This window comes from Homo sapiens, chromosome 1 (genome assembly GCF_000001405.40).
Source record: "Homo sapiens chromosome 1, GRCh38.p14 Primary Assembly".
NCBI lineage: Eukaryota > Metazoa > Chordata > Mammalia > Primates > Hominidae > Homo > Homo sapiens.
The window spans coordinates 245,976,614-245,991,664 of NC_000001.11; the positions used below are offsets into that span (position 1 = coordinate 245,976,614).

Below are 15,051 nucleotides of genomic sequence, written 5' to 3' on the forward strand. Positions count from 1 at the left end.
TCCGGCCCAGGGAAAGCCATCGTCTCTAGCCCAGGGAAAGCCATCGTCTCCAGCCCAGGGAAAGCCATCGTCTCCGGCCCAGGGAAAGCCATCGTCTCTAGCCCAGGGAAAGCCATCGTCTCCAGCCCAGGGAAAGCCATCGTCTCCGGCCTAGGGAAAGCCATCGTCTCTAGCCCAGGGAAAGCCATCGTCTCTAGCCTAGGGAAAGCCATCGTCTCTAGCCTAGGGAAAGCCATCGTCTCTAGCCTAGGGAAAGCCATCGTCTCCGGCCCAGGGAAAGCCATCGTCTCTAGCCTAGGGAAAGCCATCGTCTCTAGCCTAGGGAAAGCCATCGTCTCTAGCCTAGGGAAAGCCATCGTCTCCGGCCCAGGGAAAGCCATCGTCTCTAGCCCAGGGAAAGCCATCGTCTCTAGCCCAGGGAAAGCCATCGTCTCCGGCCCAGGGAAAGCCATCGTCTCTAGCCTATGTTATTGTGACACTCTTAACCTCATCTCATGCTTGACCCCTTGAATCCATTCTCTATATACTTCTCTAGACAGAATTAGAATCATCTTTTTACAAACATGAAGGATTCAGTCACACCCACATTTCAAACATTTCAATGGTTTTCTGCTACTTCAGAAGAAAATTGAAACTTCTTCAAATGGCCTAACACGGCTCCGCTTGATCCAGCCTCTACCACACAACAGCCATCCCCACTCTTCTAGCCTTGCTCCCTCATGGCATGGCTTTAAATGCCACCATTGGAGGAAGTCCATCCTTAATCACAAAACCGAAAGGAGGGGCCACGCACGGTGGCTCACACCTGTAATCCCAGCACTTTGGGAGGCTGAGGCAGGCAGATCACTTGAGGCCACGAGCTTGAGACCAGCCTGGGCAACATGGTGAAACCTCGTCTCTACTAGAAATACAAAAATTAGCCAGGTGTGGTGGTGCATGCCTGTAATCCCAGCTACTCTGGAGGCTGAGGCAGGAGAATTACATGAACCCAGGAGGTGGAGGTTGCAGTGAGCCGAGATCGTGCCACTGCATTCCAGCCTGGGTGACGGAGTGAGACTGTCTCAGAAAACAAAAAACAAAAAACCCCAAAACTTAAAAGATTCTCCCTTGCATGAGAATCTTATTTGCCCTCCACTTACCACCATTTATAATAATTCCTCTTTTTGTTTCCTTCCTGCCCTGTTATTAACACCTCTGAAGGTTGGCCCCATGCAGGGAACATACTACTTTTATAGTGCACTCGGCTGGCAAGCAGTCTTTCTTACTTTCTCTGTGTTGTGTCTATGTATACACAGCATATCTGTGAGGGAGATATTAATATTATTCCCATTTTACAGATAAAGAAGATGTGAAGCATATGGAGGCTAAGCCCCTCCCTCCATCAGGCCACAGAGCCAGGTGCAAGCCCAGTCTCACCCCAGCATCCTGGCTCCTGTCAGCTGTCGTTTATCATCACTATACACCAGCACGCCTGGCTCTTTGTAGGAGCTGAGTGAACATGGGCAGAAGGAATCGTGAAGTAAACGCTTCCAAGTCGGAACATCCAGAGACATTTGGTTCCTCTCTAGGTGCTCTTACCCATTCCTAGTTCTACTATTTATGCTGGGAGGCATCTTCTGTCCCTTACTAATTGATAAGTTCATCTAGGGCAAGAATCATGATTTATCCATCTTCGTGCCTCTCATGATACCCAACAGTAGGCGCTCAAAAAACTTTTCCTAGTGTGTGCAGGCATTTAAAACTCAGTAGAAATTAACCACAATTGCAATGAAGTAAAATTCAACTAAGAGTTCCCACAAAAAATAAGTACAACAGTCACCATTCCAGTCATTTATAGAGCTGATCTGAATCCAGAGGTAAGTTTCCAGAATTAAAGAGCTGTTTTATAGACTGCGTCTTTCTACTTCACGAGTGGGTAGAAATCATCTTTATTAGAAAAAAAATAAGTGCGGGAGGGCGGGGGGCAGAGAGAACTATTTCAAAAGGTTTTTCCCTGTTTGTCCTAAATCCTCCAGAGCAGGCAGTTAAACGTTGAGTCCAGCGTTTCGGAGCCTGGCCAGTCTATTACAGGCCTTGGTGGTGAAAGGCAGAGTGGCCTCATCCAAGCTTTGTCTCTCGTCAGCAATGCTACCTGTGCTGGCCTTTCCGCCTTACTTCCCAAACTCCTCTCCCATTTCTCATTTCTGCTCCCATTTCCCCTTGTTCCCTCCAACACTACGAAGGCAAATTATGGGGCTCAATACTGAGAAGTCCTTTCCACCTTATTGATAATGAATTTCTTTCCTGGGAAACACCTGGGAAAGAGACCAAAAATTCAGGACAGTACAGCCTAATCTGAGGTATCTGTCCATTCTTGGCAGGTATGCATTGCTAAAAGCATGTGACTACTACCGTATATCAGAGAGCCCTTTTATGGAACGTGGCTCTCTGCTCCATGAGTGGGTGGAAATAATATTTAGTGAAAAGAAGAGTCTCGGCATCTTAATGAAAGAAACCTAGATAGGAGATGAGTCATTTAAACCCTCTCTCTGTCATCACACAGAAATAGCTTGAAGAAAGAAGGAGTCAACTCAAATGCCCAAGGAGGGCAATGGCAACAGAGATTTGGGAATCTTTTCCAGGGTAAAAACAACTGGGATGGGCTAGGGGTGAATAAGGAAGTTCCATCCTGTCTAAAGGTGTCTGTTATGGGGTGAATTATGTTCCCTCCAATAAGATTATGTTGAAGTCTTAACCCCCAGTACCCTAAAATGTGACCTTATTTGGAAATAAAGTCACTGTAGATAGAATGAGTTAGGAAAAGATCACACTAGAGAGTAAGTAGGCCCGAAATTCAACATGACTGGCATCCCAGTAAGAAGGTGGCCATGAGAAGACAGACACAAGGAGAGTTCCACATGAAGACGGGGGCAGAGACTGGGGTGATGCAGGTACAAGCAGGGAACACCAAGGACAGCCTGCTGCCACCAGGAGCTACGGGAAAGAAACGGAACAGTCTGCCTCAGAAGGAGCTCACCCTGCCCACACGCCCTGATTTCAGACCTTTACCCTCAGAATTGTGAAAAAAATTTTGTTGTTTTAAGCTACCCTGTTTGTGGTATGTCACCATGGCCGTTTTAAGAATCGAATACAGCATCCCAATTCAGACTTAAAAAACGCAAGATGACCAAACCCAGCCCCGGCAGCTAGATGGTCTCTAATTCCAATGCTCACTATTCAGTGGGCAGTCACATTTCTGTCAAAAACAAAAATGCAGTTACAAAACATTTTCTGGCTAAACAATGCATTCTCCTGGATCTCACACATCAGAATTATCTTCCAGATCCCAGGGGTGAGAAGCGCAGCTTCTGCGTCAGACACCAGTCTAGTGGACATCGCACGCTAGCCCTGCCACTCGCCAGCTGTGGGGCTTTGGGAGCTCTGTGCCTCAGTCTCCTCCACCTATAAGTGGGAATGATAGTGAAGTCGGCCTCACAGATGAGGATGCAGGGCACACTGGGAAGCCTGCTGAATTACAACGAGGGGGAGAACTCAGCAACCCAAGCGGCATGATCTCTATCACAGGCTGCAGCACTGGATTTTACCTTACTGTGCATGATTTTTCATTTGCTTTACTGTGAACTCACCTAGGACGGGGTCCAGGCCTTGGTCACTTTTGCTCTCCTTGCACATGTGTGGCAGGTAGTCAGACATGCCTCGGGAATGAAGGCAGGAATGTACTTCATCGACTCCACTCCTGTGATGTGAGATCCCTGAGGGCAGGACCCAAGTCCTACATCAACCCTAGAGCCCAGCACCAGGTAAGAGGCCACACAGAGGGCAACGAAGTCATTGTGTTGGAAGGACGTCTGTAGATGTATTGCTCAACTCTGCCAAGCTAGCATGGGAGCAGGAATTAAATGCTTCATTCCAGTTTCAAGGTCTGAGTTTGTCTGTTTCCTTTCTGCTTATCACACACATGACATGTAGAACAAATTAGGGTGATGCTTCCTCACTGAGGCTTTTTGGGAAACCTATTAAACCAAGGTGGAAAAAATAATTCAAGAACATGACAAATGCAGCTGTCAGTAACTCTGCAACAGGCAGCAAATGCTGAGAAATGCACTTATTCTCTATGGCTGCCGACGTTGACTGGAAAGCTGCTTTGCAGTCTGGGAAACAAATCCCTACTCCAGACTGTATGATATGGATTCTGTCTCAGTGGATTGGCATTGTCTAGACTAGCAGTCAACAAACTACAGCCCATGGTACCTCGGCCACTGTTTTTGTAAATCAAGTTTTGTTGGTACTCGTCCCTGCCTTTCCAGTTATGTATTGCTTATGGCTGCTTTTGAGCTACAAGGCAGAGTAAAGCAGTTCTAAGAAAGACGGTATAGCCCAGAAAGCCTAAATCATTCACTATCTGACCCTTTAGAGAGAGGTCTGTTGATCCCTAACTTGGAGTATCCCACTGTGATTACACTTAAAATTAAGCTTGAAGAGGACAGAAACCTTGTTTATCTGGGTCAGACCTATCTAGACGATGACCTACCTGATTTATAGTAGGTGCTCAATAAGTCTGCAAAGAATAAACATGAGGCCAAATAAATATTGAGGTTTTAGGACAGGTAGTGCCAACAGCACACAGTGCTAAGGGGATGCCTGCTGGGCTAGACCAGTGTCCCGAAGCTCTGCCCTTTTTGAGAGGATGAGGATCTGCCACTGCTGGGTGTCCCTTGGTTAACTAGCTACCTGAGAGCCCTCTGGGAGCCCTGGGCTGCACAGACAACCAGGACATCTTCATTTTAAGAATTCAATAGCATTGAGCTGTCAGGACAGATTAAACCTGACTAAGAAGAACCTTTCAGAATCCTTCTATGTATATACATTTACATTAGAAATGTTTTAAAGGAATAAACACTTGCAAAGCGGTTTAAATTTAAAGGTTCCCTTATACAACTGAACCCAAAACAGCTGTCAGAAACCAAACATTTATAAATACAAATGCTCAAGGTACCAAGTGAAAAAAAGATTTTTAGATCTAAAAGAAAAAGTCCAATCTATCCTGCCATAACAAAAGCAAAGAAGGAAACAGAAAAGCCAGACTTTCTGAGAATGATCCTTTAATGTTAATACTGAAAGCATGTGTAAGTTCTGGCTCCAATAAAGTTGTTTATGGTTAGAGTTAAGTAAGAAGGGGTCCTTTAACTTGGGAAACGATTACATAGAACTTGTTGCAGAAAGAAAGAATTCCATACTATTTCTCTTTTTCTATTTTGTCCTCTCAAAGAACTGTTGCTTCCATGCATCAGGTCTTCAAACCAGGCTTGGGCAGGCGAGTCTCCCAGCCCTCCCTCCAGCCTGGCTCTGGGTGCAGACCCACGGTCATGGGGACCTTGAGCACGTGGGGTCTTCTTTTAGGAGGGTTTGTGGAACTGTAGCTCTTTACATAGCCCAGAGACATTCTCCCTTTAAAGTTTTTGGGTAATGCTCAATTCCATCTTTAAAGAGGTGGGAGTTTTAATAGCACAGCTGTAATAGAATCACATTTCGAGTTTTTGAGACAGGATCTTGTTCTGTCACCCAGGCTGGAGTGCGGTAGCATGATCACAGCTCATTGCAGCCTCCACCTTCTGGGCTTAAGTGATCCTCTGGTCTCAGCCTCTGGAGTAACTGGGACCAGCATGAGCCACTGCAGCTGGCTAATAGTTTTTTGTAGAGATGAAGTCTCACTATGTTGCCCAGGCTGGTCTCAAACTCCTGGGTTCAAACAAGTGTCCTACCTGGGCTTCCCAAAGTGCTGGGATTACAGATGTCAGTCACTACATCTGTCCCACATTTATATTTAAATAGAAGTAGCATCCTATAGTCTCAATTTCTGATCAAATGTGAAACAATCAAAATGTCAGTCTGAGAGTTGATCTAATATAATAGTAAAGGCTCACTTATAGGCTAAATACTTCCATCAAATAAATCTTAAAGTAACATTTTCTAATTCAGGTTTTGTTTTGTTTTTTACTAATCCCCTTCTAAACCCACTTAATTTGTATTTAATTCATATTCCCAATAATAAAATCAAGGAACTACGGAAACATTGCATATTCCACTAAACTGTGTTTACAATATTAACAAAATCTATTTACTCCATAGAATAAGCAAAAACTCAGACAAGAATTGACTCACTGGGTTCGCTTTGAGGACTGTTATATTCCATTTAGAGGTAGGATTTCCTTATTTCTTTCGTAGCCACACCTTTGGAGATGTGGCCAAGCATTCTTTACACGAAACAAGAAACACTTGCAAAGCGGTTCAAATTCAAAGGTTCCCTTATACAGTTGAATCCAAGACTGCTGTCAGAAACCAAACATTTATCAACGCAAATGCTCAAGGTACTGAGTGGAAAAAAGGTTCTTAGATCTAAAAAGTCCAATCTACCCTTCCATAGCAAGGAGCTGGGGCTCTGCATGATGGTAGATGACTTCCAACGTGATCTTTCCCCCCATGCTACCAGCTGAGAAGACCTCATACTGAAGGTCTTCACAGAGACAAGATGCCTCATCTCCCTGGCCTTATTTTGTGGCAGCTTTCGGGACATTGTTTTCAGTTATAACTTTTCAGACTCTTTCACCCCATGGGGGTTGTGTTCCCATATTAGAATTAATATAAATGCATTTTCATCAAAAGGAAAGAAAATAGAAAAAGAAAATTAATGACTAGTTACAGCAAATTCATTATTTCCCCTAAAAACTAAACACATCAAAATGCTGCTTCTTTATCCAAATTCTTCACCATATTGAAATCATGAAATGAAACGACAACCAGCTTTCATGACCAGCTAAGAAACGCATTTGATGAGATCAAAAGTCCAGCACGTGGCCCCCTGGGACCCACGACCAGATGCCCATGGCAGATTTTTAAATTGTTTGACTTTTCTTCTTAAAAATCTACGTCCTGTTTTGCTGTTGTTCATTTCAAACCTCCTGTGTGGGAGTGTTAATAAAATCTAACATCTGTAAATTTCTCATATTGGTTTGATGAATCCTTGCTCAAACATTCTCCTTTATTCTGGCTCTAAATGATGTGATCTCAGCCATCTCCTGAAAGTATCCAAAGATTAAGACAAAGATTTAAAAGCCCCATTGAAACCACAAACAAAAAGCCCCTGAACACCTCAAGACTGAGTCTCCCAACACAGGCTATGATGGAATCGTTTCGGTTTCAAGGAATCAGTAGCAAGAAGAACAGTCAGCTCCTGCTGAGAAAGGGCCAGGAGGAAGAGTGTAATGAGGGAGAGAATAAAGGTATGCTTCAGCTTAAAACTAATCATATTATAGGTCAATTAGAATGCAACATTTCCAAAACCTTAAATGTGTATTTCATTTGAGTAAACTCAATCAAGTCTACTCTTTTTTTTTTTTTTTTTTTAAATGGAGTTTCGCTCTTGTTGCCCAGGCTGGAGTGCAATGGCGCGGTCTCGGCTCACTGCAACCTCTGCCTTCTGGGTTCAAGCGATTCTCCTGCCTCAGCCACCCAAGTAGCTGGGATTACAGGCGCCTGCCACCACGCCCGGGTAATTTTTGCATTTTTAGAAACAGGGTTTCACCATGTCACCCAGGCTGGTTTCAAACTCCTGACCTCAGGTGATCCGTCCCGCCTTGGCCTGCCCATGTGCTGGGATTACAGGCATAAGCTACTGACCCAGCCCAACCCTACTCTCATCTCAGGATTCAATGGACAAAACTGCTTCCTAGTTCAAAAAGAAAAAGTATGTCATCAGGAACAAAGCCCATCAACTTCACAACCATGCAGCACAAATCTATTTGTGCCTGCGCCCGCAGAAGCACCTCCCCTCCTGTGCAAGGGCATGTGCACTCACCTGGGCCCTGGATCCCACTGTTCCTCTTCATCTAGGACAGGAGCTCTCCAGCTTGAGTGTGCGTGAGAATCACCCAGAAGGCTCATTGAAACACAGGCTGCTGAGCTCCAAACCCAGAGTTTCTAATTGAGTAATCTGAAGTAAGGACTGGTAATTTACTTTGCTAACAATTTCCAGGTGATGTTTTATGATCCCAGAGCAGACTCTGAGAACAACTAATCTAAGACCTGCTACACTGATTATCCTCTCATCCTACATTTTTGAGTCTCTCCTTTCATATTGCTTCTTTCCCTAAGCATATAAACATGTTCAAATTTGTCATCTTAAAACATAAACAAAAGTCTCCCTGACCTCCCTGGGAATGTAGTGTATTTCTCTTTCCTTCTGTACACATGTAGGTTCTTAAGAGAATGTTCTCCATACACCACTTCCATCCGACTTCTCCTTGCTCTGTAATCTATTTGCCCTCTCAACTCTGCTGAATGTGCACATCTCACGACCCCACATGAACTTAACAGTTTCCAGGCCAATGGATACTTCTTAAGTCCCTGTTTGACTCTCTGCCTTACCTACCATCGCTCACCTGACCACACAGCATTCCCTCCTCCCTTGGATTTTATAACCTCTCCCTATCCTGGATCTCCTACCACCTCCTTCACTGCCTCCCTTTTGGTCTCCCGTCCTGGAATATCTGCTTTTCACCATCCCTATAAGTGCTGGGGATCCCTTGGGACCTGTCCTTGGCTCTCGTCTTCTGATGCCATACATTTTGCCTGAGAGTTCTCATCCATGCCTGTCTTTCACCTATAATCTATATCCTAATGGCTCTCAAATCTAGACTTCTCTTCTAAACTTCAACTACATAGAATGATCATCAATTAGACAATTATATTTGTCCAATAGGCATCTCAAAGTTATCAATACTTAAAAGTGAACCCATTAATTTCTACCTTGTTCCTGTTCCCCTTCCTTTATTTTTTACCTAACAAAATGGCTCCTCCAACTGCTCACTCATGCAAACCACCTTTATGTCCTTAAGGAAAAACATGTCCTTACGTCTCAAGCACAATCACAGTTCAGAGGTGGGTCCAATCCACCTCTTAACTGTCTCAAATCTGCTCCCTTATTCCCGTCTCCAAGACTGTTGCTCCAACTTCGGTCAACATCATAATACTTGGTTCTTCCCTTTCTTAACTGCATTTCTAGTCACCTCCTTCTCATATTTTAAGCTCCAATAACACCAAAAACTAGTTAATGATATCTTTGAATGTGGCATGCTCTCTTACAATGGAAAACTTCTATATATTTTATTCCCTCTGCTTGGAAAATTATTAAAATCCCTGCACCAACATGTTCTTTCCAAAACCTTCCCAAATGTTCTTGACTTTGGACTCCTTTCTGGCTCTCATTCCACTTGAAACCTGCCTCCATTACAGCAATTACCTGTTTCCAAGCCTAACACTGCGCCATTCAAAGGTAAATCCTTGAATTCCTAGTGCTGATAATACCTGGCTCAAAATAGGAGCCCTACTAAAAAGTACTTTTATACAACATACATCAGTGATTCTGAACAAGGAAACACACTCCCCTGGCAGTAGAGTAAGCGAGTCTACCAAACATTTTAGGATCGTTTTTAGCGTTTAATTCTCCTCCTACAGAATTTTAGATAACTAACATCACATTTATTTCATCTCAACTTTAACATGTTTCATCTCTTGTTTACTTCATTTCTTCAAGGAACTGAGAGAGGACCCACTGAAATTCAGTTTGGGGATGTTAGGAACCTGTTGGAAGATTTTCTGGAGAAGTTTTCTCATTACAACAGTGTTTCCTTTCTAGTCATTAGAAGAATGAAGGGAGCTGAGGGAAGCAGATACTTGAGAGTTTTACATTTTCTGTACCTCAGTTTGTTCTCTACCATTTCAGTAAAAGACAGCTACTCCCAAATACATTTTTGCTGTATGCAACTGTGCTGTTATTCCTGTAGCTGGTCCAAGTTTTATAGATTACTCACACAGCCCCCTAGTGAGCCCAGCTGCTTTTATACTATTATGATGCCATAAACAAAATTACATAACATTTTAAGGCCAGTAATAAATGCCTGAACTAGCTGACTGGAACATGTAGCATTTGGGCATTTTCATGGTCTTCAGTGACGGTTTTACTGCCCTGAAAAGCCCTCCCTGTACGTTATCAAAGAACAGGAAGTCTCCATGTCTCCACTCTCGGTTGTTCCAGCCTAAAGGTGACCCACCCACGCCCACATGCAAGGCTGGCAAGAACGGGTCATCGTCAAAGAGAATATGCTAAGTGCATTGAAACAGGCTGTGTACAACCTTCATCAAGCTTCAAGTAGTTAAAATCGTGCCTTACAAGTATTTTTAAAGAAAACTGGTATAGGTGGATACAGCAAATAAACATGTATTTGAAAATCCAGAGACAAATATAAGTAAAACTTGATGAACATATTTGCATTTTATGTAAATGTCAATGTACATGTTGTGGAACAACTTGGCTCTCTGCTGGAGAGCATACCTCCTTTTAAATGAGTCACCACTTGCGGATGAATAGGAAAACGCTGACAGATCCATGCGAGATAAAACGGATCACAGCAGTCTTGGAATCAACACACTTTTATGATGAAACCAACTCATATTCATGCCTCCAAACACAGCTTAGGCTTGAAACCAAGTTGCAGAACGTCCAAAAATTCTTGAAGAATCCAGATGTTCCCATAATCAGCCACTGATCAATTTCCCAGGAGAAAAGGACTTAAACAAGGATGGGAAATTCCAAGACGTTTAATACCCAGAGGATATCTGCACCCAGAGAAATGTCACACTCAGACCACAGGAAGCTATAGCTCTGCTGTTGACTGATGTAGTCAGGTGTCTAGAATTTTATGCCAGCCTCTACCCACTACACACCATTACTGTTTTGAGATAAATTAGCAAACACCAAAAATTAGAGGTAAAAAAGATCTAGAAAAAAAACAATTGAAACGAACTAAAGAAGCCAGAGCCAGGGAGGTTTAACAATCATTAGTAACAGGTGATATCCACTGAAACTTTTCCATGTTCTTCCAGCTTCACGCTAAGAACTTCACGTTTTCTTAACTTATTCCTCACAACGATTTTTAATTTAAATTGATTATTCCCACTTTATAAATATGAAAACTAAGACTTAGCAATATTAAGAGATTTACCCAAGGCACACGACTTATCAACAGTGGAGACGGAATCTGAACTCAGTCTTTCTGATTCCAAAGTCCCGGCACTTAAGCACCACACTGGAGCCTGAAGCAAAGGCTCATGGGTGACCCCAGTCTTAAACATCTGAGGGTTTGTAACATGGAAGACAGAACAGCTTCGTTGTATTCTAAAGCAGGAGTCCTCCAAACCTGTTTGTACTGGAGAATCATCTCTGAAACTTAAAAAGAAAAAAGAAAATCCAGTTTCTACGGTCCCACTCACAGACTCTGCTTCAGCTGATCTGGCATGGAGGCCAGAAAACTGTATTTTTATAATGCTCTGCTGGGTTTGAGAATCACCGCTCCATACCTCAGAACTAGAATAAACGCAGAGGAATCACTAGGAGGCAGGTTTGGCTTTACGTTATTAAACAGACAAACCAAACCAAACACACACACACACACACACACACACACACACACCGCCACCCACAAACCAGTCCTAACCACAGGGCTACACAAGCCTCCCCTGCCCAGTCCTAACCAACAGAGCTTCCCAAATGGAGCTGTAGCTGCCTGCTCAAGCGCCACGATATAATGGAGACAACCCAGTCTCTGGAAACAGAGGCTGCCATTTCCAGTTCTGATTCAGCCATTCTCAGGTGTGTAGCTCTGGTCAAGTTATTTTCTCTGAGTCTCAGTTTGCTCAACTGGAAATTATTGGAGAACACTTACCTCAAAGAATTGTTAAGAATTAGAGACAATTAGGTAAAATTCAAAGAACCGTGGCTGATGTGGCTGATGGTGCTCATAAGCAAACGGCACCTGCCCACTTGAAATGTAACCATCTTCTTCTGTAGCTTCTGTAGCGAGCCTCTGCATGTGGACAGCGTGGGCCGCCTCTGCAGCACCCTTCCCCTTATTCCCACCATTGTCCCACCCACTGACATGGCCACGTCCTATTGGCTTCAAGCCCAGATTTTAGCAATGGGCTCTGACTGGCCTAATCCAATCAGCCCACACCTGGCCCCCTTGCCACAGCCATAGGCAGGGACCAGAGCCCAGGCCAATCAGCAGATGGTGTTCCTCTGGCAGAGAACGGTTTGGGAGGAGGCTGAGCATGTGTCCAAAATTGGGCCAATCAGAGTGAACTCAAAGGCTTTTTTTGTCAGTAGGAGGAAAGGGAGTATCTCCTCTTCCAGAATGTATGACACATCAGCCTGAGAGCTGACGCTCAGCAGCCATTCTGCTACCAAGAGCCTTTATCAAACTATGTCTGAAGCCTGGGCTATCTCCATATTTTTGAGATCTGTGAACCAATAAATTCCCCGTATCATATTATTTAAGCCTTGAGGTTGTTTTTCTATGGCCAAGGCTGAACACATTGTAACTTATCCAGAATCCCCTGGCTGGGAGTGGTGAGATGTAACCACTTAGATCATTTCTAACTTCATGATTCCATGACTTCTTAGACTTTATCCAATTAATACCTGTCTTCACATTTATAACACTTCTGACGACTGGTTTCTGCAGCCTGGAACATCCTGTCCCCCTTTCTCTTCTTAAGAAATCCTGCTCACCTTTTAGGACCCAACTGAAATGGGTCCACTGCTGCAAGATCTTTGAAGAGGAGTCAGTTAATCCATCTTCCTGTGCACTCCCCCAGTACTTGACCATTTCCTCTCTTATCCTTAATTTCATTGTGTACTTTTCTCACTCCTATCTTCACCTATGTTTAGGCTGTGTGCACTTTGAAGACAACACCCCCTTCCCTAGGCATTACTTGTTAACAGGCCAACTGTGCAGCAAAGTAGCACAAATCCAGCTTGCTGCACATGTCCAATGCCTAAGATGAGGCTGGGCCTGCAGCAGGCTTGCAAGAAACAACCACTCATTCATTCAATGCCACATGAGTGGTTAACTGGATACAAAGGAGAAGCAAACACAACGAAGGCTTCTGCCTTAACCTTCTAGGTGTCCTACCTTGTACCTTGAAGGGATTAGAGAGAAAAACATTCTCCATCTTGCACTGCTGATTTCCAATGACAAGTGGGGCTTCCCCCCTCCCACAGAGGATTACAGGCCAACTTGGGTATGGTAGGGTTTTGGGGACTGGAGGTGGTTTAGAGTTTTTTCCAATCTTATTAAACTTACTCAGAGCTTAACATCTATTAATGAAATTATGTTTTCTATAATAAAAGTAGAGACTCAAATCCTATAGATGCCCTGACCTTAAGATATAAAAATTCAATTTTAAAAAATATTACACATACCAAATACAAAAGATCTATTCTGTGACCTCTTCTCTAACACCAACAACTGTAAATTTAATATCATCCTGTGTTACCTGAGGTAGTTGGAAGGTGTTTCTTCTACGTTTGTTGTATCTAGCTTTTTCTTTTCAGATTTTATTATTTATTTATTTTTGAGACAGGGCCTCAGTCTGTGGCTCCCAAGCTGGAGTGCAGTGGTGTGATCATGGCTCACTGCAACCTTGACTTCCTGGGCTAAAGTGATCCTCCCGCCTCATCGTCCTGAGTAGCTGGGACCACAGGGATGTAGCTGGGACTACAGGCCTGCACCACCACACCTGGACAATTTTTTATTTTTTGTAAAGACAGGGTCTCACTATGTTGCCCAGGTTAGTCTCAAACTCCTGGGCTCAAGCAATCCTCCCGCCTGGGCATCCCAAAGTGCTGGGATTATAGGCATGAGCCACCATGCCTGGCCAGCTTTTTCTTTAAGTGAGAAAAATGGTGAGAGAGAACTGTCTCCTACTCCTACTTCCTTTTGGTCACACAGCTATCTCGACCTTGAATAAAATTTCTGGATCTGACATGGTTTCAGTGGCTGCAATGAGAAAGGAAGTATACAGCACAAACTAGGAGTAGATTTGTTATTCATACTCCAACACCTGATTACCTTCTCAAAAACCAGGGTATTTCCTGCAACCCAGATTCCTCATTGACAGGAATCATCTTGGTCTGAAGGAAGGGATCAGGAGCCAAGAAATAAGAGTGGCCTCTAGAAGCTGGAAAAGGCAAGGAAGCAGATTCTCCCTAGAGTGTCCAGAAGGAGCCGGCCCTGCCAACAATCTTGAATTTTAGTCCAGTGGGACTCATGTCGGACTTTGGACCTACAGAGCTGTAAGATAACACGTGTGTGGTTTTTAAAGCCATTGATTTGTGGTAATTTGTTATGACAGAAACAGAAAGTGAGTGCACTGACTTCCCTGTACCAGTGACCACTAACTGGCATCTACACTAGTCCCTTTCCAAACAGTAGTGCTGTTTAAAAAAATTGTTATGTTTATCAACATGAAGCATCATAAGAAGTCACAATCGTAAGTTGAAGTCAATTAGAAAAAAGAAAATTCTAACAATTACCAAAGATCCAAACAAGAAAAATTCAGTATCAAACATTCCTCTTATATTCACAAAAGAGACCTGAATACACACATGCTTTAACTAAAATGATTTCTTTCCTATATGTGGAAAAAATGCACTTATTCATTAATTCAACACATAATTTACAGAGCCTCTCCCACCTGCCAGGCACTGTGAAGAATCCTGAGGGTTTCCTGCCATCTATCTGAGCCAGGGCAGGTGTGGAAAAAAATTTTCACATTAGTTCATTAATGGTAAAATAGGAAAAAGGAATAGAGCCACAGCTTAAAAGTTATGTCGTTATAGACAGAGATACCAGCAGAGAACTAAGCCACGTGCATTTGTTATCTGTTTCTGAGCAGCTTAAAGCAACCAGCTAAGTGACTTCACACAGTTCTGAGGGTCAGGAATCCAGGAGTGTCTTAGCTGCCATGGTTCCGCCTCAGGGTGTTTCAGGAGGTTGCAGTCAAACTGTCAGCCAGAGCCACAGTCAACTCAAAGATGGACAAAGGCTGGGGCATCTAAGCTCACTCCTGTGGTTGCTGGGGAACCTCAGTCACTCCCCGGCTGTTTGCCAGGGGCTTGGGTTACTTGCCAGGAGGGCTTCCCCTTAGAGCTGC

At 43.7% G+C, this 15,051-nt stretch overlaps 1 protein-coding gene across 18 annotated transcripts in view; it reads right to left on the bottom strand.

Moving 5' to 3' along the window:
- The window catches only part of SMYD3 (SET and MYND domain containing 3), a 757,933-nt gene that overhangs the window by 227,267 nt on the left and 515,615 nt on the right, over positions 1 to 15,051 (bottom strand). For 2 of the 18 annotated variants that reach the window (NM_001375965.1, NM_001375966.1), the window contains exon 1: positions 11,781 to 11,938. The exons of 15 other annotated variants lie outside the window; for them this stretch is intronic. The gene's annotated coding sequence lies outside the window, so the exon portion shown is untranslated. Of the gene's footprint in view, positions 1 to 7,855; positions 7,943 to 11,780; positions 11,939 to 15,051 lie in introns of those variants that run through there. One more of the 18 variants, XM_024449141.2, reaches the window with a different exon arrangement.